The sequence below is a fragment of the Homo sapiens genome, chromosome 11 (assembly GCF_000001405.40).
Source record: "Homo sapiens chromosome 11, GRCh38.p14 Primary Assembly".
NCBI classification, from domain to species: Eukaryota; Metazoa; Chordata; class Mammalia; order Primates; family Hominidae; genus Homo; species Homo sapiens.
In genome coordinates, this window is record NC_000011.10 from 55804845 (window position 1) to 55829686 (window position 24842).

The following is a 24842-nucleotide window of genomic DNA, read 5'->3' on the forward strand; positions in this document are numbered from 1 at the left end:
CACTTATATTATTCGATTTATGGATAGTGACCTTGACATTTTTTCCAACTATTTTAAATTTAAATCAACTTTTAAAGACTCCTCCTATCTCTTTAAGCATAAGGTAAATAGGTAAGTAAAACAGCTTTCTTGTGGGTTGTCTATATGACATAAGGCAATACTGCCAATTATGTTTTCTATAGATGCATTTTCAGCTTTTCTATCATGACTCTCTTCCTCAAGAGAGACGCATTTTGTGATAATAATTTAGCAATACACTAAGAACAAAATGAATAGATAATTAACAAAGGTTTTCATTATTCTATTATATATCTGAGTGTATATAGTATACTATATATGTGTATTAGTTCATTTTCATGATGCAAATACAGATATACCAGAGACTGGGCAATTCAAAAAAGAAAGAGATTTAATGGACTTACAGTTCTACATGCCTGGGGAGGCCTCACAATCATGGTGGAAGGCAAGGAGGAGCAAGTCACACCTTACATAGATGGCAGCAGGCAGAAGGGAGCTTGTGTAGGGAAATTCTCCCTCCTAGAACCATCAGATCTCGTAAGACTTATTCACTATCACCAGAACACCATGGGAAAGACCAGCCCCCATGATTCAGTAATCTCCCACCTGGTCCCTCCCACAACATGTGTGACTACAAGATGAAATTTGGGTAGAGACACAGCCAAACCATATCGTTTTGCCTCTGGCCCCTCCCAAATCTCATGTCCTCAAATTTAAAAATCAATCATGCCTTCCCAACCATCCCCCAAAGTCTTAACTCATTTAAGCATTAACTTGAAAGTCCACAGTCCAAAGTCTCATGTAAGACAAGGCAAGTCCCTTCTGCCTATAAGCCTGTAAAATCAAAAGCAAGTTAAGTACTTCCTAGATACAATGGGGGTGCAGGCATTGGGCAAAGACAGCCGTTCCAAATGGAAGAAATTGGGCAAAAAAAAGGGGGCTACAGGCCCCAGGAACATCCAGAATCCAGCAGGGCAGTGAAATCTTAGAGTTCCAAAATCATCTCCTTTGATTCCATGTCTCACATCCAGGTCACGCTGATGCAGGAGGTAGTTTCCCATGGTCTTGGGCAGCTCTGCCCCTGTGGCTTTGCAGGGTATAGCACCCCTCCTGGCTGCCTTCATGTGCTGTCACTGAGTGTCTGTGGCTTTTCCAGGAACACAGTGAAAACTGTTGGTGGATCTACCATTCTGGGGTCTGGAGGACAGTTGCCTTCTTCTTACAGCTCTACTAGGCAGTGCCTCAGTAGGGACTCTGTGTGAAGGCTCTGACTCCACATTTTCCTTCCCCACTGCCCTAGCAGTGGTTCTCCATGAGGGCACTGTCCCTACAGCAAACTTCTGCCTGCGCATTCAGGCAATTCCATACATCTTCTGAAATCTAAGTTGAGGTTCCCAAACCTCAATTCTTGACTTCTGTGTACCCACAGGCTCAACATCACTTGGACTCTGCCAAGGCTGGGGGCTTCCACCCTCTTAAGCAACAGCCCAAGCTGTACCTTGCCCCCTTTTAGTCATGGCTGGAGCAAGCGGTATTCAGGGCACCAAGTCCTGAATGTATGCAGCAAGGGAATGTAGGCTTGGCCCACAAAATCATTTTTTCCTCCTTAACCTCCAGGCCTGTGATGGGAGGGGCTGCTGCAAAGTTCTCTGACATGCCCTGGAGACATTTTCTCTATTATCTTGGTGATTAGCATTCAGTTCCTCTTTACTTATGCAAATTTCTGCAGTTGGCTTGAATTTCTCCTCAGAAAAATGGGATTTTCTTTTCTATTCCATTGTCAAGCTGCAAATTTTCCAAAATTTTATGCTGTTTCCCTTTTAAAACTGAATGCCTTTAACAGCACCCAAGTCAGCTCTTGAATGCTTTGATGCTTAGAAATTTCTTCTGCTGGATACCCTAAATCATCTTTCTCAAGTTCAAATTGCCACAGATCTCTAAGGCATGGGCAAAATGCCACCAGTCTCTTTGCTAAAACATAACAACAGTCACATTTGCTCCAGTTTTCAACAAATTTCTCATCTCCATCTGAGACCACCTCAGCCTGGATTTCATTGTCCATATCATTATCAGCATTTTGGTCAAAGCCATTCAACAAGTCTCTAGGGAGTTCCAAATTTTCTCACACTTTCCTGTCTTCTTCTGAACCCTCAAAACTGTTCCAATCTCTGACTGTTACCCAGTTCCAAAGTTGCTTCCACATTTTTGGGTATCTTTTCAGCAGCGATGCCCTCTACTGTTACTGATTTACTGTATTAGTTTGTTTTCACAATGCTAATGAAGACATACCCAAGACTGGACAATTTACAAATGAAAGAGGTTTAATGGACTTACAGTTAGTCCACATGCCTGCGGAAGCCTCACAATCATGGTGGAAGGCAAGGAGGAGCAAGTCATATCTTACATGGATGGTGGCAAGCAAAAACAGAGCTTGTGCAGGGAAACTCCCCCTATTAGAACCATCAGATCTAACGAGACTTATTTGCTATCATGAAAACAGCACTGGAAAGACCTGCCACCATGATTCAATGACCTCCCACTGGGTCCCTTCCACAACACGTGGGAATGCAAGATGAGATTTGGATGGAGACACAGCCAAACCATATCAATATGTATATATTATGCATATAGTCATACTCAATAGCCACCAGCTTTTTTTTTTTTTTTGAGACAGGATCTCTCTTGCCACCCAGCCTGGAGTGCAGTGGTGCAAACACAGCACACTGAAGCCTGGAACTCCTGTGCTCAAGTGATCCCCTCATCTCATCCTCCCAAGTAGCTGGGACTACAGGTGCATGCTACAAAACCTGGTTAATTTTTTAATTTTTTGGTAGGGAAAGTGTTTCACCATGTTTCCCAGGCTTGTCTTGAACTCCTAAGATCAAGCAATCTGCTCACCTTGGTCTCCCAATGTTCTGGAATTAGGGTCAGTAGTCATCATGCCTGGCCAAGGTTATACTGGCTAGAATACATGTCAACTGCCTTTCTTTGCCATGAAAAAAAATATACAAACACCAAAGAGAAACAAGTCATACCATGGGTTTGAAGTGTTCTGATTGCAGGCAACTTCAGGCCTCATGGATAGCAGCATTTCAAGTTTAGGCTTTGCATATTTGCTTTTGTTTTTCTCATCAGAGTGATTCACGTGGAAAGATGTGTACGGATTAGAGAAATCCCTTGCTTTTAAAGAGTGAGAGAAAAGTGGTTGTGAGAATGCTAGGTACAAAAGGAGACCCAGATAGTCTCCTCCAATTCAGAGAATTCCCAGATCAATTTTGGAAAACACATATAGATTGTAACTCATTACATCCATGGAATTATTCAAATGTTTGGTTTATCTAGGGTCACACAGACTGAGATTTGAACACTTTGTTCAGGTTGACCTTCCTATATCTAGTCAAGAAGGAGGCAGAGCTTGAGGAGGTCCTTGAGAAATTCCCATTTAATGACCACCAGCATTGAAGAAGGAGTCACCCACACCAGTACCATTCTGGAGCTCTGCTCATCCTTATAGATACACAGATGGCACAAACAAAAAGCTACACTTGGCTGCTCTCTACCAGGGAATCTGTGTGTGACTGTGGGCAAGTTACAACTGCTGTGCCTCCATAACCTTATTTTTAAAGGAGAAATAACAACAGTACTGATGTCAACCATTTTTATGAAGAAAAACATGTGTTCACAGTTAGATATAGAATAGTACCTGGCACAGGTGAAGTACTCAGTAAATGTAACCAATTATTATTCTTAGTAAAATAGATTCATTATCCCCACCCCTTTCTGGTATTTGGAGGATCTCTGGTGTGGTTTCAGACTCTATGCTCTGTAGGAAGGAGTTTTTGAGTATAATAAGACAAACGAAGTTTATAAGACCTATTCATATATTTCATAATGACAGTGTGAGTATTGGCTCACAGAGGCAATACTTGGATGTGGCATACAGTGTTCTGCATTTCATCATGAACTCTGAATGTAATTGTATTAGATTACAATAATTTGTACCAAGTTGGATTTTTTCTCACCCCTTTTATATTCCATAATGGTCAGTAATTGTTGGAGTCCCAAGATATGATGGTTTCCTTGATATTTTGTTGATATCCCACAGAGATCAGTGATTGTTTTGGGAAGCTTATGAAACATGGCCCCAGGGACACACACACACACACAAACACACACACAAATATAAAACAGCATTTTCCATCATAGCATCTTCAGAAATAGGAGAAGCAATGGCCCTCCAATAGGTTGGTTAGTTGAACTACATTGTGTATTTTTTAGAATGAACATAAATTATATGTTCTGGGAGCTGGAAGCTTGACTTTTGTTCCTCATGGAGGTAATTTATTATAGTCATGCATTGCTGAAGGAGGAATTCTAAAGGAAGGAAATAGTATTATAAAATGTTTAAAATCTGTGTTTTATCCCTCTCTTAATCAGATAATGTTTTTTCAAATGCCATGGTTTGAGCACTGCTTGATGGCAGTATTTTTCTCATTGTGTATTAAGGGACAATTTGGTGGGAAGTGGAAACTATTTAATCTGCAATACCAAATATCTTACAACAGCTATTAATGTGAGATGAAAAGCAGTCTGAACAAATTGGGATGAACACTTGTTTTCTCTATCCTTCCCTCTTTCCCCTCTATCACACTAACTCTGTCCAGACAACCTAGTAAAGACTGCATGGAGATTATCTCCAAAGTCACCTTGATGCTGAGGGTGGTAGCAAGAGGCAATAGGAACAGGACTGTTCATGGAGGGACATGAACATGAGAACCACCTCTGAAGCAGAAAGAAGAGGAATTACTTTTTCTTTTTGAAAAGCATGTTGAAATGCCTCTCTATGGCAGGTTTCTCAACTAAGGCATCATTGAATTGTTGGTCCAGATAACGTTTTGTTGTATGTGCTGCAGGCAGGGACCTTCATGTACTTTGTAGAAGGCATTGTAGATTGTTCAACAACATCCCCACTACATGTCAATAGCACCCCCTTCCTCTTGTAACAACCAAAAATGTCCCCAGACATTGACAAATATGCCATTGGGATCAAAGTCACTTTTGACAAAGAATCACCGCTCTATGTGCAATTAACAGCTTGATTTTTTTTTTCTTTAGATTTGAAAGCAGGAAAGGGCTTTCAAAAGTGTGTATTAGTTTGAACTCAGGGGAAGATACACAACTCACCTCTCCTGGTCATTTTAAGAGAAAACACCATATTATCAAAACAATTTTTTTAAATTTTCAACCTGGCATTTAGCAATATGCATGCTGCATATCTTTGAAATCAGTTGAAGAATGGGAAAAATGTCTGGTTGTGTTGGTCTCTAGTCCAGATTTTTTTCTTGCAGGAGTGCTTGACTGGTGCTTCTACAATGATGTATGAACGTATCAAGGGTCAGGAAGAGAAAGAATGACAAGATTCTCACCCTCACTTTACGTTTGCTGTGTGTCAAAGGTCTAAAAAGTATGTGTCCCTAATTTTAAAAATTCCAACGTCTTTCCCCATTTCACTCACTAATAATGATGTTTTGGGAGAAGTAAGACAAGTTAACAGATTTTTTAAAATAAATATTTATGTTCATGGATGTTGTAAGGATTAAATATACGATTGTGTGTGGCATAAATATATGTATTTATATTATACATTATTATATACTATTTTTTCTCTACATTCTGGCTGTTTTTAAGTATTTTATCCCTTTTCACAGTCATTTATTGATATCATTAAGATGATTTAAAGTTATCCTTTATATGACTGCATGCTTTTATATTATATACACTACAAATGTGATCATCTTTCTCTTATTTGATATTTTATTTCTAAGTTTTAATATTACAAACAATACTGCAATGCAGCAGTGGGAAGTTTTCTTAGTAATTTCCCATGCACATCTTTGATCAGGTCTTCAAATAGATTGAAAGCAGTAAATTTATTTAAGACATAATTTTTTAAGACTGTGGAGTCATACTTACAGTAAGTTGTCCCCAAGAGTACCAATTCCCTAAACCATGGCTGACATTGAAAAATGTAATTAACCAAATCACCATACTAATTTTACAGAGAAAATACTAATACAGATTATAAAATGAGTTTCTTCATCTAAAATATATCAATAAAATGCAAACACTTGACTGCTAACATCTTAAATAAGTGTATTTCTCATCACTGTAATGAAAAATTCAGAGAGAGGTGCCGTAGATTCTAAACATTATTTTCTAGGATCCCAATATTTGGAGTTGGCTAAGAAAATGGGATTTGAATTTGAAAGAGTAAGGAGGCTAATTAAATAGTAAGTTGACCTCATTCCCAATGATTCAGTGAAAAGCTGTCAATTCTCAAAGACTAATTAAAAGAACAATATAAATTCATATATACGTTAATATTTTTGTTTGATCTTTGAATTAAACTAAGTTTATGCATTTGTGTTATACAAAGTTGAACTTTTTAAAATTTCACAAAAAGTTTTATTCTTTGCTGATAAGATAAACTATCCTACTTTTTCTGGTGTCTTTTTACAGGATACAGCCAAAACTAAAATTTAGACTATATAATGGAGAATAATTTTTAAGTTTCTTTTCCTCCAATCTCATATAAATTGGAGACATGGGCAAGGAAAACTGCACCACTGTGGCTGAGTTCATTCTCCTTGGACTATCAGATGTCCCTGAGTTGAGAGTCTGCCTCTTCCTGCTGTTCCTTCTCATCTATGGAGTCACGTTGTTAGCCAACCTGGGCATGATTGCACTGATTCAGGTCAGCTCTCGGCTCCACACCCCCATGTACTTTTTCCTCAGCCACTTGTCCTCTGTAGATTTCTGCTACTCCTCAATAATTGTGCCAAAAATGTTGGCTAATATCTTTAACAAGGACAAAGCCATCTCCTTCCTAGGGTGCATGGTGCAATTCTACTTGTTTTGCACTTGTGTGGTCACTGAGGTCTTCCTGCTGGCCGTGATGGCCTATGACCGCTTTGTGGCCATCTGTAACCCTTTGCTATACACAGTCACCATGTCTTGGAAGGTGCGTGTGGAGCTGGCTTCTTGCTGCTACTTCTGTGGGACGGTGTGTTCTCTGATTCATTTGTGCTTAGCTCTTAGGATCCCCTTCTATAGATCTAATGTGATTAACCACTTTTTCTGTGATCTACCTCCTGTCTTAAGTCTTGCTTGCTCTGATATCACTGTGAATGAGACACTGCTGTTCCTGGTGGCCACTTTGAATGAGAGTGTTACCATCATGATCATCCTCACCTCCTACCTGCTAATTCTCACCACCATCCTGAAGATGGGCTCTGCAGAGGGCAGGCACAAAGCCTTCTCCACCTGTGCTTCCCACCTCACAGCTATCACTGTCTTCCATGGAACAGTCCTTTCCATTTATTGCAGGCCCAGTTCAGGCAATAGTGGAGATGCTGACAAAGTGGCCACCGTGTTCTACACAGTCGTGATTCCTATGCTGAACTCTGTGATCTACAGCCTGAGAAATAAAGATGTGAAAGAAGCTCTCAGAAAAGTGATGGGCTCCAAAATTCACTCCTAGGGAAGATTTTATTAGCACAATTCAGGATTCCCAAGTAGTGGCAGGCGGGGGTTCACGGGAGAGGCACAGTGTTGGAGTACAGAGAAGAAGGAGCTCAGTAGTTATAAGCGAGTCTTTTTTGATTCACTTATCTTTGTGCTTCTTAAACTTTAAGGAGTAGGATTGAACATATTTCAAAATTTGCTGCCAACTTTTAAAAAATAAATACATAATGTTTAAATGGATATGAGCAATAGTATTATTAAGATAGACAAGTTTTGCTTTCTCTAAAACCATTACAAGTCTTCTAATGAAGAACTTACAAGGGTTACAATTTATTTCAGGATCCATTATGGAAACTACGATTCTTTTCAAAACAAAGTTTTCATTATTTTGTATTGATGATTACATTGTCATTGAAGTTTGTAGAATTTCATATATATATGGATTATATGTATATATGGAATATATATGTGTGGAATACATATGGAATATTTATATATTCCATATATATGTATAATGTGTATATATTTATCAGTTTTTGACATTTTAAAATTCTTTATTATTTTCTTGCTGTTGTTTTAGTTTCCAGTGTCATTGGAACTTTGGATAATATGTTATATGATAGATGAAAAACATAATAATTTCACAGGACTCTAGGAAAATTGAATTTAAAAAGCTGGAATCACTTACAAGGAGCTTAGAATAATCCCTGAAACATAATAAGTAGTTCTCTCTTTTTCTCTCTGTCTATGCTATATACATATATATTATATATACATAAACATGTGCATATAATAATTTAGAATTATTATGAATCTCAGCATTTCTGAATTAACCATCTTCTCTCACTTTATCTTTACTTCTTATCTTCAAACTAACTCTAAAATCCATTGAGGAAGACATGCTTACTGACACTTATAAGAGGACTTTTAATCTCTGTTCATGTTCTTTTCATGTGTTTTTAGTTTTGCTGAACTCCCTTTTATTTCACTTTCCATATGTACCCCAACCACATTTCTGAATTCTATATTGAATTATATGCACCATTGATGCTTTCTTTGTGACTTCATTATGATTTATGTCAATTTCCTCATTGTGTTTATTTGTTTGACAAGATTCAGAAAAATTTTATACTATGATACCGTGTGAAAGAATAAAGAAAGGTAAAACAAAAACTAATAGCAATAGGAAGAGGTGGAAGCAAACTTAATAAAGACAAGTACTTATTTAAGTGTTATTAAAACAAAGTTTGCCAGCAAATGAGAAAAGAATCACAGTTCGAAAATATGAAAAGATAAATAAAAATCCTTTAATCTTAATTTGAATTAGAAATTTACTTTGAAATGAAGTTTTTCTCCTAATTACCACTAAAAGCCATAACAGAGTCACTGTGAACATTCTTATTTCACAAATTTTCTCTGAAAAGAAACCTATTCCCTCTAAACAGAGCTAGGGCTTCTTGGAGAAATGGCTGTAAACATTTTTATTTTCCAAATTTTCTCTAAAAGGAAACCTTTTATCTCTAAACAGAACTAGGGCTTCTTGGAGAAATGGCTAATTTGAAGTCTAGGGTGGAAAATATGCAAGATGAGCCTTGGGCTGTTCGATGTTCCAGGAAGCTAGAATACTGTCAACAGTTAATCAGATTGTCTCTAAGACACATAGGAAGAGATTTGAAATTGCTGCCACTGGTTTATTGTTAGAAGATTTTAATGTAAAAATGAATATTGATGCAGCTGATTTAAAGGCCTCATGTATGTTTCTATCTAGATACTAAAAAAGAAAAAATATAAGAAATCATTGATTACTACTAATGGTTGTCAGGGTACCAACTCATTACTCTGAAAATACGTTATTAAAAAATCAAACATTCATTCCAATTTTCCTATATGAATTATATTTCAGCATCACCTCAGAGGTGAAGTTCAAAAGAAATAAAAGCATCAAGAATGAAATCAGACAATCACAATTGTAGAACTCCACATTTAAAAAGTGGATCAAGGTGACTTCAATGAACATAACAATCATTAGGAAAAAAGTTTGTGGGTAATTTTAAAACAAAGTAATTAGGTTGACACTACTTGAATCCAGAGATCAGAATGATCATCACTTAAAGTAGGACAACTAGTTGTCATCAACCAGTTATCATATGCTTCTCAATGGACTGCAACCAACAGTAGTCAGAAAAATCAATGAAGAATTTTTGCCTAAAAGACACTAAAAGAATGAACCTGAGCTAATAAGTCATCTTCATCTGAATATTAGTTTAAAAAATTGGTACAGAAATATATACAATGACACAAAATGAAGCACTAAGCCAAATACAGAGAATGCTTCATTATTATTATTTTTCCCCCAAAATATTGCCTAACACACACACACACAGAGGCTGTCACACAAAGAATGGTTATATAACAAAGTAAACTTTTATAACAACCATATTTATCTGAATCTTGATTCAAACTAACTGGAAAAAATATGCCTTTGAGACAATTGGGGTAATTTAAAAATGGATTGGGTATTTAATAATATTAAGAATATAATGATGATTTTGTTAGGTGCAGTTTTGGCATGAGTGTTTGGTTCAAACATTAAAGACTCTCCAATCAAAAAGTGATAAACTACCTATCAGGTATTATGCTTATTACCCAGGTGATGAAGTAATCTGTACAGCAAATCCCTGTGACAACAATTTACCTATATAACAAACATGCACATGTACCCCTGAATCTAAAACAAAAGTTAAAAAATGAAAATACTCTAATCAGAAGTCGATAGTTTGGCCTGCATTGTACTTCAGCATCGCCATGCCCTGGAGGAACTGAAGGGAGCAGGGAATCAAGTGGGATCTAACTGGGTGGAGCGGGAAGACTAACAATGCGCTCAAATTTCAACTTTTTCTCTAGGTCTGCTTTTAGTTCTGTAATTTTGTTAAGTAAAATCTTACAACTAGCCGTAATACTTACATGAGTTCTTAATTTTATCTGATCTTCCCATAAATGCCAATAGGCCAATTGTTTAGAAAGAGTGCTTTCTAATTTTTTTTTTAATAGGGAAGGCTTGGGCGGAGCATGGTGGCTCACGCCTGTAATCCTAGCACTTTGGGAGGCAGAGGCGGGCAGATCACTTGAGGTCAGGAGTTCAAGACCAGCCTGGCCAACATGGTGACACCTTTTCTCTACTAAAAATACAAACATTTGATGGGTGTAGTGGTGCATGCCTGTAGTCCCAGCTACTGGGGAGACTGAGGCAGGAGAATCACTTGAACCTGGGCGGCTGAGGTTACAGTGAGCTGAGATCATGCCACTGCACTCCAGCCTGGGTGACAGAGCAAGACACTGGCGCTCTCTCTCTCTCTCTCTCTCTCTCTCTCTCTCTCTCTCTCTCTCTATATATATATATATATATATATATATATATATATATATATTTATTTATTTATTTCAAAAGTTCTGATTTCAAAAGAAATATATATATATATTTCAAAAGATCTGTCTTCTTTCAATTGATAATTAAGATCTTCATTGGTGTGTATAATGCAATAGGACTTAATCCAACAAGGCTTTTGTGGAAAGACCAGAAGGCAACTTTCTAGAATTAGAATAAACCTTTACTAGGGATAAAAGGGGTCTTTCTGGAGTGAGTGCAGAAAAGGCAGCCTCCATGATCCAAAAATTCACTCACAGATCTCTAGTCTCTCACTGAATGTGAGACACCTTCAATAGAGGCCTGATAATCTGTGACACTGGGCAGGCAACACTGAGATGGGAGTTTCCCAGCACAAATCCAGGGAACAAAGTTGAGATGACAAAAACTGTGAGAGGTTGGCATGTTTGGACAAAGAAAGTGCTGCTTAAAATCATGTGTCTCCATTCCTCTGTCTTTTCATACTGACCTGCACCTGTGTGCTCTACCTTATGGTTCCTCTCCTTAGGACAAATGACACAAAAAGACAAAGACAAAGGAAGACAGACTATTTCTGAGATTAAAAGGATCAAATAGAAATGAAGAGTACTCACAAGAACACCGAAAGTCCCTTTTTAACCAAAGAACTAGTTCACAGTGTTTTCTCCTGCCAAATCCAAATTAGAGAGAGAAAAAGACACTGAGTAATTAAGAGAACAGAGATTTAACAGGGACTATAATATTTATCCAATTGAGTGTTTACTTCGTAATATTTCTGCTTTAACCCAAATGAGTCAAGATGACCGGAAAGCTAGATCTTCCTATTTTTTAATATGGTCAGAGTGTGTGGTGTGGAGGAAGAGGATTATGTCCAGCAAATAGTAGTTAGTGGATCAGTATCTGATACCAATGATCTTAAAATTACACATGTTCTTATAATTGGAGAAATATATGGAAGTGATAAGAGGGCTGAGGAAAATGACTTTAAAATATGAAAGTTTTATATGAAGTGCTCCTGATGTTTTAATTTTTTTTCTGCAAGTTTCTAGTATATTAGAATTACATGAGATAATGGTGATTAATTTTAATTTTTTTTGTGTGTGTGTGAGCTCAGGAGACTGGGGCAATAGGTAGTCTCTATGGTTCATGTCTCCTAGGCGTAACTATAGATATAAGAAAACATGTATCACTCTCAGCCTGGAAACGTCCTCCCTTTGCCATCAGCAGGTTTGCTTTAAGATTCTAAAGACAGATTGATATTCATTTCAACCTACTTAACAACTTAGGAGGAGGAAAATGCACCCTTAGGATTAAGCAGTTCTTGAAAATATGTGTGAATGTGCAAAGAACAGGAAGTGCTCTCTTTCTGCGAAGCTTTGTATCAGAAGGCCTGACTCCTGAACAATAGTCTTATGAAAACAGGTACCTGGGATGGGGAAATAGAAGAGCTTTGAGAATATTAGGAGTGTGTATTGCCTTGCTTCTGTTAAGTTTTGGAGAAAAAGTCAAGGTAGAATAGGCAATATTGAAGTAAATTGAATTAAACAGAGAGATAATAGACTCTCTAGTGAAAAAAATAAAAGGCGCCAGCTTTAATTAAGATTATATAACAGGAAACACATGTCAGCCCTAAAAGCAAAAATAACAACTAAATTCAAAAGGAGATAAACTATAGGAAAGAAGATTTCATCTGTCATATTTCGGGGATTCAAATATTTAAAGCATTATTACCTATTTTATAGTTACGTTTTGGACACAAAGGCCATTATGTAAAATGTAACATTAGTTTAAAATAAAATTTAAATGCCTTAGATAAATAAAATGCAGTGTTAAGAAAAAAATGTGCTGTCCAGGCATTTTGGCTCATGCCTGTAATCTCAGCTACTCAGGAGGCTGAGGCAGGAGAATCTCTTGAACCCAGGAGGCGGGAGGCGGAGGTTACAGTGAGCCATAATCACGCCACTGCACTCCAGTCTGGGCGACAGAGCAAGATTCTGTCTCCAAAAAAAAAAAAGGAAAGAAAGAAAGAGAAAAGAAAAAATATGCTAATTAGGATATCTGGGTTTGTGATGGATTGTCTTTTGAGGTTGTCTATTTTTTTTTGAGACGGAGTCTCGCTCTGTCGCCCAGGCTGGAGTGCAGTGGCGCGGGGTCTCTGCTTACTGGAAGCTCCGCCTCCTGGGTTCACTGGGTTCACGCCATTCTCCTGCCTCAGCCTCCTGAGTAGCTGGGACTACAGGCGCCTGCCACTACGCCCGGGTAATTTTTTGTATTTTTTTTTTAGTAGAGACGGGGTTTCACCGTGTTAGCCAGGATGGTCTCAATCTCTTGACCTCGTGATCCACCCGCCTCTGTCTCCCAAAGTGCTGGGATTACAGTCGTGAGCCACCGCGCCCGGCCTTGAGGTTGTCTTTAATACACAAATTCATGAGTATAGGAAGAGAGGGCCCTTGAATATGTTGGTCTTGCATGTAAATTAACATCTTTCTTGATAGGCCGTCTAAAAATTTGGGTGGGTTATGTGAATAGATATAATGTCTATTATGATAGAGAAAGAGATTACAGATATGATAGCATCTGAGAGGTGTTGGACACTAATTAGAGCAATATAATGATTCTTTCCTATTATTGTTTTCTGTTTTCTCATGAAATGTATTCATGTTGCTGTACTATCTCAAGTTTTTAGTTCTTCTCCTTCATAGGTAATAGATGGACACAATGAATATATAATGTGTCTTGAAGGGAGAGAAAAGAAATAGACATGGAGACAGGGATAGACAGAGAGGACCTAGAAGAAAAGGGAAGTTTGCAAGTCAGACTCTTACACTAGTTATTTCTGGGTAAAAAGATTTTCCTCAATCCCATTCTCATGTGTTTTATCTTGATGCTGCTTTCTAATATATCTTTGTGGCAGTAACTGTCACTGGACTATGTAGATTCTCTAGTCTGCTTATTAATTGAAAGTATGGTTATTAATGAAGGGAATGTGTTAGTATCTCGACCTAGATAATGGAGCAGAGTTTGGTGCGGGTAAAGGGTTACATGTCTAGGAGTTCAAGGATCAAAACCCTAGTCACAGATGTGTAGATTGGCCTTCCTGGGCATATCGATAGGAAATTCAAAGCTTCTCTGGCTTCTACTTTGTCACCTATAGAATAAAGAATAAACAAGGGTATCTGTATTGACTATTCGATATTTATTATTTCTCAAGCAATGAGGAAGGATTGATAATTAGTACAGCCTGATTTTGGAGCATACGCTCTGAAACAATTAGTTCAGCTGTATTTTGAAGTCAAATTTTCTGGGTCAGACAAACATTAAACTGCTATATGGAATTAACAATAAAGGCACAAATGTTAAGCGTTAGGGCTCTTGATAGTTAATGTCATCGTATAAACAAATTATGTGAAAACTAATTTATGAAATTTTGATTTGTATAACTGATTATAAGATTTACACAATCAGTCATCATATTATACGAGGAAGATCATTTATGTAGAATGCTTAAGGAGGCCTGAAATTATTATGTAAATTTTTAATTTAAAATAATCACAAATATTTAATCTCATTTTCCTATATTTGGAAATATTAAAAATTACAGTTACTAACTTACTCTTTTACTCAATAATTGTATTTTTCTTAAGAAATTAAAAAACATTACAGTGTTTTTACATGTTAGATATTTAAGAAATCTTAAACAACAAACTCATAGATTCCGGAAGAGATATTTGCTTCATCCTTCAGGAGCCGTAAAGGTATTCAATCACCCTTCTTATTTTCTCATTCTCCTTAACATTTTTGTTTTCAGAACTAACTTTCAGATTCGAAGAAACAGAAGCGATGCTGCTGACTGATAGAAATACAAGTGGGACCACGTTCACCCTCTTGGGCTTCTCAGATTACCCAGAACTGCAAGTCCCACTCTTCCTGGTTTTTCTGGCCATCTACAATGTCACTGTGCTAGGGAATATTGGGTTGATTGTGATCATCAAAATCAACCCCAAACTGCATACCCCCATGTACTTTTTCCTCAGCCAACTCTCCTTTGTGGATTTCTGCTATTCCTCCATCATTGCTCCCAAGATGTTGGTGAACCTTGTTGTCAAAGACAGAACCATTTCATTTTTAGGATGCGTAGTACAATTCTTTTTCTTCTGTACCTTTGTGGTCACTGAATCCTTTTTATTAGCTGTGATGGCCTATGACCGCTTCGTGGCCATTTGCAACCCTCTGCTCTACACAGTTAACATGTCCCAGAAACTCTGCGTGCTGCTGGTTGTGGGATCCTATGCCTGGGGAGTCTCATGTTCCTTGGAACTGACGTGCTCTGCTTTAAAGTTATGTTTTCATGGTTTCAACACAATCAATCACTTCTTCTGTGAGTTCTCCTCACTACTCTCCCTTTCTTGCTCTGATACTTACATCAACCAGTGGCTGCTATTCTTTCTTGCCACCTTTAATGAAATCAGCACACTACTCATCGTTCTCACATCTTATGCGTTCATTGTTGTAACCATCCTCAAGATGCGTTCAGTCAGTGGGCGCCGCAAAGCCTTCTCCACCTGTGCCTCCCACCTGACTGCCATCACCATCTTCCATGGCACCATCCTCTTCCTTTACTGTGTGCCCAACTCCAAAAACTCCAGGCACACAGTCAAAGTGGCCTCTGTGTTTTACACCGTGGTGATCCCCATGTTGAATCCCCTGATCTACAGTCTGAGAAATAAAGATGTCAAGGATACAGTCACCGAGATACTGGACACCAAAGTCTTCTCTTACTGAGCCTGTTACTTTCATGGAGTTTGTCACACATATAAATAAATTCTGTCCATAAATATTGATCTTAAAGATATCTTTACAAATAAACAAAGTTAGGGTTGTACAACTCAACGAAATGGATTTTCTTTTCAACAGACTAAACTTAGCTCTGTCTCTTACTTTCTGGGAAGCATCAGTAATCCCTCTAATCTTTAATATTTCATTTATGAAATTAGTATAGTATGGGTTAGATCATAGTCTGATTGTGAAGATTAAAATATAATGGACACCTTACGTAAGTCAATGGATATTAATTTCATGTCCTTTCCTTATAAGATACCGGGAATAGACTAAGTGCTTAGGAAACATATGAATTTCTTTTATAAATGTGCAAAATAAGTTAAAAGAAGAAATAGTCCTCATCTTCAAGGATGAAAACTGTGTTGATAATAGGACAATGAAGAAGTGGCCATTGTGTAAGGCAGAAATTAATATGTACCAAAGAGAGTTTGAGAGAAGAGAAAGTTCAAATCTACTTAGGGATTTTAGAAGGATGTCTTAATGAAATAGGTATTGTTTGAAACCGGCTTTTGAAAAGGAAATGGGCGGAGTTTATGAGATACATTCCAGGGAGAAAGGAGTTTTCTTCTGGAGAAAACAATGTGAATAAAACCAATTAGGTAAGAATGTAATACCTAGTCAAAGATCTAATACTTGTTTTATTGAGCTAACATAATATAATGTGTGTTTGTGTGTGTGTGTGTGTGTGTGTTTATGTATACGGGTTACTTGACATGAACTGAAATTTTAATATGATATGGGCTACATCCTGAATGTGTTTTCAAAGGAGCTCCAGTGTGACCATCTGATAAACCATAATAGACTTCACCAGATGCTGATGAATAATGGATCAGATCTTAGAAAATCCTATGTACCAAATTAGGGATGATGAACACCTGCCCAACCTGTATGTCATACTGTTAGACATCACAAACTTTATCAATCCATTATGATTTTTTTATGAGCATGGAAATAATCTCTGAATCCTTCTCAACAGAATTCCCAACAACCTTTATAAAAAGGTATTTGGAGTAGTCTTAAGTGTTGAAAGCTCTTTGGCTGCATAAACTTATTCAAAATAAATAAAAATCAGGTAATCATTAATATCAAGACCTCTTTAACACAGCAAATTAAAAATGCTAGCTCTTTCTTACCTTAATAACTCACTTTCATTCGAATAAATTGTATACCCTTCTCCTTTTCAATGTGTCTAGATACAGTTCCAAACAAATCATCAATATAGTGGAAGAAGTAAATTTCCAGGTGTTTTGTTAAGGGAGAAAAAATAAACTGGGGAACAATTTTATATAAACTTCTTAAATTTATTTAGAATGTTCATATTATTTTGACCTTATGATGATTATTAAAGTTATGATAATTATTAAAGTGATTCATCTTACATATATTATTTGATAAAGAATCCACTAAATAATCCTTGTAATAGAAAAATTTTTCAAAATGTAAGGAACAGTGTTTTAGATATTAAATGCCTGAGGAGGGAATACTTTTTCTCTTGATATCTGTATCTCCAGGTATTCAAACATTTATCCTTTGTACACATCTGGTACTTATACAATTTTTAATTTTCTCAGAAGTTGGGACATTGTTTTAATATTAAATCGAATACTGAATTTCACCATCTTTTGAAATCCTGAAAAGCTGCCATGGGAACAAGCATAAAATAGGATATTTGATAATGAGGAAAATTAGCCCATATCCCCATCACAAGGGCTTTTCTCTGGCAACCTACCAGACTTGAGTGTGAAGCCCTGTGAGATGATCTGACCTGCCAGCTGACAGTATACACACAAGCAAGACAAGCCAAGATCAGCCATGCCAGGGACATGTGAGCAGAACCACCTGGATGATCCATGCAATAGAGTCACAGGCAATAAGAGGTTGTTGTGTTTAGCCAATAGGTTTTGGAGTGGTTTGTTATACAGTCATTAGAGTCATTCACTTTCTCAAATTCTGGGAATGCTACCAAAAAAACTTCACGATGTTTTATTATGTAATAATTCACCATCTTCTATTATTCCACATTGAGGAAACATTTTAAAATAATAAAATGTGTTAAATTTTAAATTATTGATTTTATTAATACTTGCTAATACAATATTTTATTCAGATAGCATCTTATGTGGTTTAAGTACATGTCATCAAAAGCTTAGTGCTTCACATTTGTATTATTCAATTTATGAATAGTGACCATGAAATTAATTACAACTGTTTTAAATTTAAATCAAGTTTTCAAAACAACTCCCATCCCTTTAAGCCTAAGACAAATAAGGTATGCAGCTTTCTTGTGAGCCTATACAACATAAGGCACCACTGGTAATGATGTTCTCTATAGAACTTTCAGCTTTTCTATCATGACTCTCATCTTCAAGAGAGATGAGTTTGTGAAAATACTTTGGCAGTACACTAAAAATAAAGTGAATAGGTAGTAAACAAATGTTTTCAACATTTTACTATATATCTGAGTATGTATATAGTACATATCTGAGTACATATACATAATGTATACATTATGTATAAACTCATACACAATAGCCAGTAGGTAAAGGATATATATATACACACACATATATGTGTGTGTGTGTATGTGTGTGTATATATATATATATATATATATATATAGAGAGAGAGAGAGAGAGAGAGAGAGAGAGAGAGAGAGAGGTTCTCTCTTTGTTACCCAGGATGGAGTGCAGTGGCGCAAACACAGCTTGCAGTCCGGATCTCCTGGGCTTAAGTGATCCTCCCATCTCAGACTCCCAGGTAGCTGGGAATATAGGTGCACGCCACCCAGCTCGGCTAAATTTTGTATTTTTTTGTAGAGATAAGGTTCTTCCATTATGCCCAAGGTGGTCTGTAACCCCCGAGATCGAGAGATCTGGTCACCATGCACCCCTCCCAACGTGCTCAGATCAGGGGCATTAATCACCACACCTGGGCAAGGTTCTATTGGCTATAGTACATGTCAACTGCGATTCTTTTCAATGAAAAGATTTACAAACACCATAGAAAAACAAGTCATATCATGGATTTGAAGTGTTTCGATTAAAGACAACTTCAACCCTCATGAATAACATTTCAAGTTTAGGCTTTGGATGTTTGCTTTTCTTTTTCTCATCGGAGTGATTCACATGGTAAGTATGAATGGATTAGAGAAATCCCATGCTTTTTTAAAGAGCGAGAGAAAAGCTGTTGTGAGAATGCTAGTTACAAAAGGAAACCCAGAAAGCCTCCTACAATGCAGATAATTCTCGGATCACTTTTGGAAAACACATATAGATTATAACTGCTTATATCAATGGAATTATTGAAATGTTTGGTTTCTCTTGGGGCACACAGACTGTGCTTTGAACACTGCTCATTCAGGTTGACATTGCTGTATTAGTCAAGAAGGAAGCAGAACTTGGGGAGATCCTTGAGATATTCCCATTTAATGGCCACTAGCATTGAATAGGGAGTCTGCACCCCCGGTACCACTCTGGAGCTCTGCTCTTCCTTATGGTTGCACAGATGGCACAAGCCAAAAAGCCACACTTGACCTGTCTCTATCAGGGATTCTATGTGTGACTGTGGGTGAGTTACACCTGCTGTGCCTCTATAACCTTATTTTGAAAGGGGAAATAACAGTACTAATGTCAACCAGTTTTATGAAGATAAAATGTGTTCATAATTGTATTTAGAATAGTATCTGGTACATGAGCAGTACTCAGTAAATTATTAGTATTAGTATCAGCAATTATTAGTATTCTTAGTAAAAGGGACTCCTTATCCCCACCCCTTTCTGGTATTTGGAGGATCTCTGGTGTGGTTTCAGACTCTATGCCCTTTAGGTAGGAGCTTTTGAGTGTGAAACAAATTTTATAATGCCTATTTATATAATTTCATAACATGAAATGGCAATGTGAGTACTGGCTCACAGAGGCAATGCTTGGATGTGGCATACAATGTTATGCAATTTACATGAAGTCTGAATGTAATTGTGTTACATTATAATAATATGTACCAAGTTGGATTTTTTCTCACCCTGTTTATATTCCATAGTGGTCAATAATTGTTGGAGTCCCAGGATAGGATGGTTTCCTTGATACCCATTTGATATCCCACAGAGATCAGTGATTGTTTTGGGAAGCTTATGAAACATGGGCCCCAGGGACACACACACACACACACACACACACACACACACACACACAAAATACAAAACACATAATATTTTTCATCATAGCATCTTCAGAAAGGAAAAGCAATGTCTTTCCAATAGGATGGTTGGTTGAACTACATTTTGTATTTTTTGGAATGAGCATAAACTATATTTTCTGGGGGCTGGAAGCCTGATGTGTTTTCCTCATGGAGGTAGCTTATTATAGTCATACACTCCAGAAGGGGAATTCAAAAGGATGGTAATGGTATTAGATAATTTTTAAGTCTGTGTTTTATCCCTCTCTTAATCAGATAATGTTTTTTTAAATGCCATGGTTTGAGCACTCCTTGATGACAATATTTTTCTCATTGTGTATTAGGGGACAATTTTGGTGGGAAGTGGGAACTATTTAATCTGTAAAACCAAACATCTTATAACAGCTATTAGTGTGAGATGTAAAGCAGTGTGAAGACATTGGCATAAGCACTTGTTTTCTCTATCCTTCCCTCTCTCCCCTCTATTACACTAACTCTGTCCATGCGACTTGGTTAAGACTGCATGGAGATTTTCCTAACAGTCATCCTAGTGCTGAGGGTGGCAGTAGGAGGCCCACGGGACTGTTCATGGAGGGACATGGACATGAGAACCACCTCTGAAGCAGAAAGAAGAGGAATTATTTTGTCTTTGTGCAAATCACTTTGAAATGTCTCTCTATGGCAGGTTTCTCAAATAAGGCACCATTAAAATGTTGGTCCAGATAATGTTTTGTTGTGTGTGCTGTGGGCAGGGACCTTCATGTGCTTTGTAGAGGTCATTGGAGAGTGTTTGGCAGCGTCCCCTCTACATGTCAATAGCACCCCCTTCCTCTTGTAACAACCAAAAATGTCTCCAGACATTGACAAATATTCCACTGGGATTCAAGTCACTCCTGACAAAGAAACACTGCTCTATGGGCAATTAACAGCTTGATTTTTTTCTTTATATTTGAAAACAGGAAGGGGTTTTTGAAAGTATGTACTAGTTTGATCTTGGGGAAGGACATGTAACATACTTCTCCTGGTCATTTTAAGAGAGAAAATCTTATCTTCAGAACATTTTAGTAATTTTCAATCTAGCATTTAGTTATATGCCTCCTGTATATCTTTGAAATCAGTTGAAGAATGGGAAAAATACCTGGCTCTGTTGGTCTCCAGTCCAGATTCTTTTCTGCCCAGAGTGCTCAGCTCGTGCCTCTACAATGATGTGTGCATCTATCAAGGGTCAGGGAGAGAGAATAGGAAGCTTCTCACCCTCACTTTACACTTGCTGTGTGTTGAAGATTTGGAAAGTATGTGTCCCTAATTTTAAAAATTCCATCCTTTTCCCCCATTCCACTCCATCATAATGATGTTTTGTGAGGAATCAGGTAAGTTTATCTATTTTTTTGAAATAAATATTTATGCTCATTGATGTTGCACAGATTAAATATATGATGCAGCTTATGTGTGTGAGTAGAATAAATACATATATTTATATTATACATTATTATATAACATTCTTTATGTTCAATCTGACTGTATTATAACTTTCCATTTTATCATTTATCGCAGTCTTATCCTTTTTATAACTGCAAGCATTTCCATTATATATACTACATTTGTGACCACGTCTCTTATTTTATATTTTATTTCTAACTTTTAATATTACAAATAATAGTTCAATGCAGTAGTGGGTGTTTTTCTTAATCATTTTCTATGCACATCTTTGATCAATTCTTCAAATAGATTGAAAGCAGTAAATTTATTTAACAAATAAATGTTTTAGGACTGAACAGTCATAGTTACAATAAGTTGTGCTCAAGAGTACCAATTCCCTGAACCATGGCCAACATTGAAGAGTGTAATTAACCAAATCACCAGGCTAATTTTATAGAAAAAAAGATAATACACACAATAAAATGAGCTTCTTCATCTAAAATATATCAATAAAATATAAACACTTGTGAATTAACATCTTAATTAAGTATATCTCCCCATCACTGTAGTGGAAAATTCAGAGAGGGGTACCATATATTCTAAGCATTATTTTCTAGGATCTCAATATTTGGAGTAAGCTAGGAAAAGGGGATTTGATTTTGATATAATCATAAGGCAAATTAAACAACTTTACCTCTTTCCTAATGATTCTGTGCCAATGTCTCAACTGAGAAAGATTAATTAAAAGAATTCTATAAGTTTTTTAAATGCCAATGTTTTTGTTTGATCTTTGAATTAAACTGTATGTTTTATGCATTTGTATTATACAATGTTGAACTTTTTCAGATTTCCCAAAATTTCTGTTCTTTGCTGATAAAAATTAGCTATCCTACTTCTTCTGATATCTTTTTACAGGATACACCCAAAACTAAAATTTAGACTATATAATGGAGAATAAGTTTTAGGTTTTTTTCTCCTCTAATCCTGCATAAATTGGAGACATGGGCAAGGAAAACTGCACCACTGTGGCTGAGTTCATTCTCCTTGGACTATCAGATGTCCCTGAGTTGAGAGTCTGCCTCTTCCTGCTGTTCCTTCTCATCTATGGAGTCACGTTGTTAGCCAATCTGGGCATGACTGCACTGATTCAGGTCAGCTCTCGGCTCCACACCCCCGTGTACTTTTTCCTCAGCCACTTGTCCTTTGTAGATTTCTGCTACTCCTCAATAATTGTGCCAAAGATGTTGGCTAATATCTTTAACAAGGACAAAGCCATCTCCTTCCTAGGGTGCATGGTGCAATTCTACTTGTTTTGCACATGTGGAGTCACTGAGGTCTTCCTGCTGGCCGTGATGGCCTATGACCGCTTTGTGGCCATCTGTAACCCCCTGCTGTACATGGTGACCATGTCTCAGAAGCTGCGTGTGGAGCTGACCTCTTGCTGCTACTTCTGTGGGACGGTGTGTTCTCTGATTCACTCGTCCTTAGCTCTTAGGATCCTCTTCTATAGATCTAATGTGATTAACCACTTCTTCTGTGATCTACCCCCTCTCCTAAGTCTTGCTTGCTCTGATGTCACTGTGAATGAGACACTGCTGTTCCTGGTGGCCACTTTGAATGAGAGTGTTACCATCATGATCATCCTCACCTCCTACCTGCTAATTCTCACCACTATCCTGAAGATACACTCTGCAGAGAGCAGGCACAAAGCTTTCTCCACCTGTGCCTCCCACCTCACAGCCATCACTGTCTCCCATGGAACAATCCTTTACATTTATTGCAGGCCGAGTTCAGGCAACAGTGGAGATGTTGACAAAGTGGCCACCGTGTTCTACACAGTTGTGATTCCCATGCTGAACCCCCTGATCTACAGCCTGAGAAATAAGGATGTGAACAAAGCTCTCAGAAAAGTGATGGGCTCCAAAATTCACTCCTAGGGAAGATTTTATTCACAGAATTCAGGATCCCCAAGTTGTGGCAAGTGAAGGTTCGTAGGAGGGGTGCAGTGTTGGAGTAGAGAGAAGAAGGAGCTCAGTAGTTATGAGGGATCCTTTTTTGATTCACTTATCTTTGTTTCTCTTAAATTTAAACTAATAGGATTGAACATATTTCAAAATTTGCAGCCAACTTTTATAAAAATAAATTTGTGATGTTTTAAATGGATATGAGCCACAACATTATTAAGATACAAACATTTAGTTTTCTGTAAAACCTTCACAAATCTAGTGAAGAACTCAGAGGAGTTACACTTTATTTCAGTATCCATTTATGGAAACTATGATTCTTTTACAAATAAAATTTCCATTATTTATAATGACGATTACACCATCGTCAAAGTGTGTACAGAATGAGAATTCCATATATCTATGCATATATATGTGTTTGTCATTGTTTGATTTTTTATGTTTCTTGTTTTATTCTTCATTATTTTGTTTCTGCTGTTGCAGTGTACAATGTCATTGAAATTTTGGGTACTATGTGATTTGATAGATGACGAAAATAATAATTGCAGCGGACTCTAGGGAAATTGCATTAAGGAAGCTGGAATCACATAAAAAGAGCTTAGAATAATCCCTGGAACATAATTATTAGTTGTCTCTCTCTCTACCTACATTACGCACACACACACACACACACACACACACACACACACATATATAATATAAATATGTACAGATAATAATTTAGAACCATTGTTATGAATCACAGCATTTCTGAATTAACCCTCTTCTCTCACTTTATCTTTACTGCTTATCTTCATACTAACCCTAAAATCTATTGATGAAGAGATGCTTACTGACACTTATGACTTTTAACCTCTGCTCATGTTCTTTGCATGTGTTCTTTTTTTTTTGGCTTAACTTTCTTTTATTGTATTCTTTCCATATGTACCTAAACCACATTTCTTAATTCCCTGTTGAATTATATGCACCATTAATGCTTTATTTGTGATTCCATTACGACTTATGTCAATTTCCTCATTTTATTTACTTGTTTAAATTAAACTTCTCTCTTTGTGTCTGTAATAATATTAGAAAAGCAATAGGTTTGAGTTTTTCAAAACCGAGATTGGTGTTTTGACCCTGGTTTTTTAATTTGTCAAGTAATTTAACTTATTTGGTCCTCAGTTTCCTTTGTTTTAGCATTGGATAATAGTTTTAACCTCATGGAATTTTATTGAGATTAAAATTTCATAGCATATGTGTACTTACTGACATCAGGAAGAGACTCAGTGTATATCTAAATGAAGTCATTGAAGCTTGGGGTTTATTTAACTTTTTATCTACTTCATCATCAGTGGCATATGAGAAGTTTTTAAAAAATCTTTTATTTTTATGAAATGCATGGATGAGTAGATATTGGTGAATTTATGGTAAGCATATTGGGATTACTATGCAGATTACATTTCGAGAGACTTCAAGAACTGTGAGTTGGTCCACATTGTCACGAATGTTCTAGCAGTCATGGT

General features: G+C 37.0%; 3 protein-coding genes across 3 annotated transcripts, besides 1 other annotated feature; all 3 read left to right on the plus strand.

The window, feature by feature from the left end:
- Positions 6523-7632, plus strand: OR5L1 (olfactory receptor family 5 subfamily L member 1). The gene has a single exon (NM_001004738.2). It carries the CDS (start codon positions 6623-6625, stop codon positions 7556-7558), a length of 936 nt encoding a protein of 311 aa, NP_001004738.1. The 5' UTR covers positions 6523-6622; the 3' UTR covers positions 7559-7632.
- Positions 13050-13213: a silencer, noted in NCBI's record as "fragment chr11:55585370-55585533 (GRCh37/hg19 assembly coordinates)". NCBI's record gives its function as "represses an EF-1alpha promoter that drives an FKBP-Casp9 reporter gene in an ReSE screen in K562 erythroleukemia cells {active_cell/tissue: K562}" and the evidence as "EXISTENCE:reporter gene assay evidence [ECO:0000049][PMID:32094911]".
- Positions 14786-15727, plus strand: OR5D18 (olfactory receptor family 5 subfamily D member 18). Its single transcript, NM_001001952.1, has one exon. The coding sequence runs from the start codon at positions 14786-14788 to the stop codon at positions 15725-15727; it is 942 nt and encodes a 313-aa protein (NP_001001952.1).
- Positions 15728-22374: 6647 nt separating this feature from the next.
- Positions 22375-23310, plus strand: OR5L2 (olfactory receptor family 5 subfamily L member 2). The gene has a single exon (NM_001004739.1). It carries the CDS (start codon positions 22375-22377, stop codon positions 23308-23310), a length of 936 nt encoding a protein of 311 aa, NP_001004739.1.
- The last annotated feature ends 1532 nt before the right edge of the window (positions 23311-24842 follow it).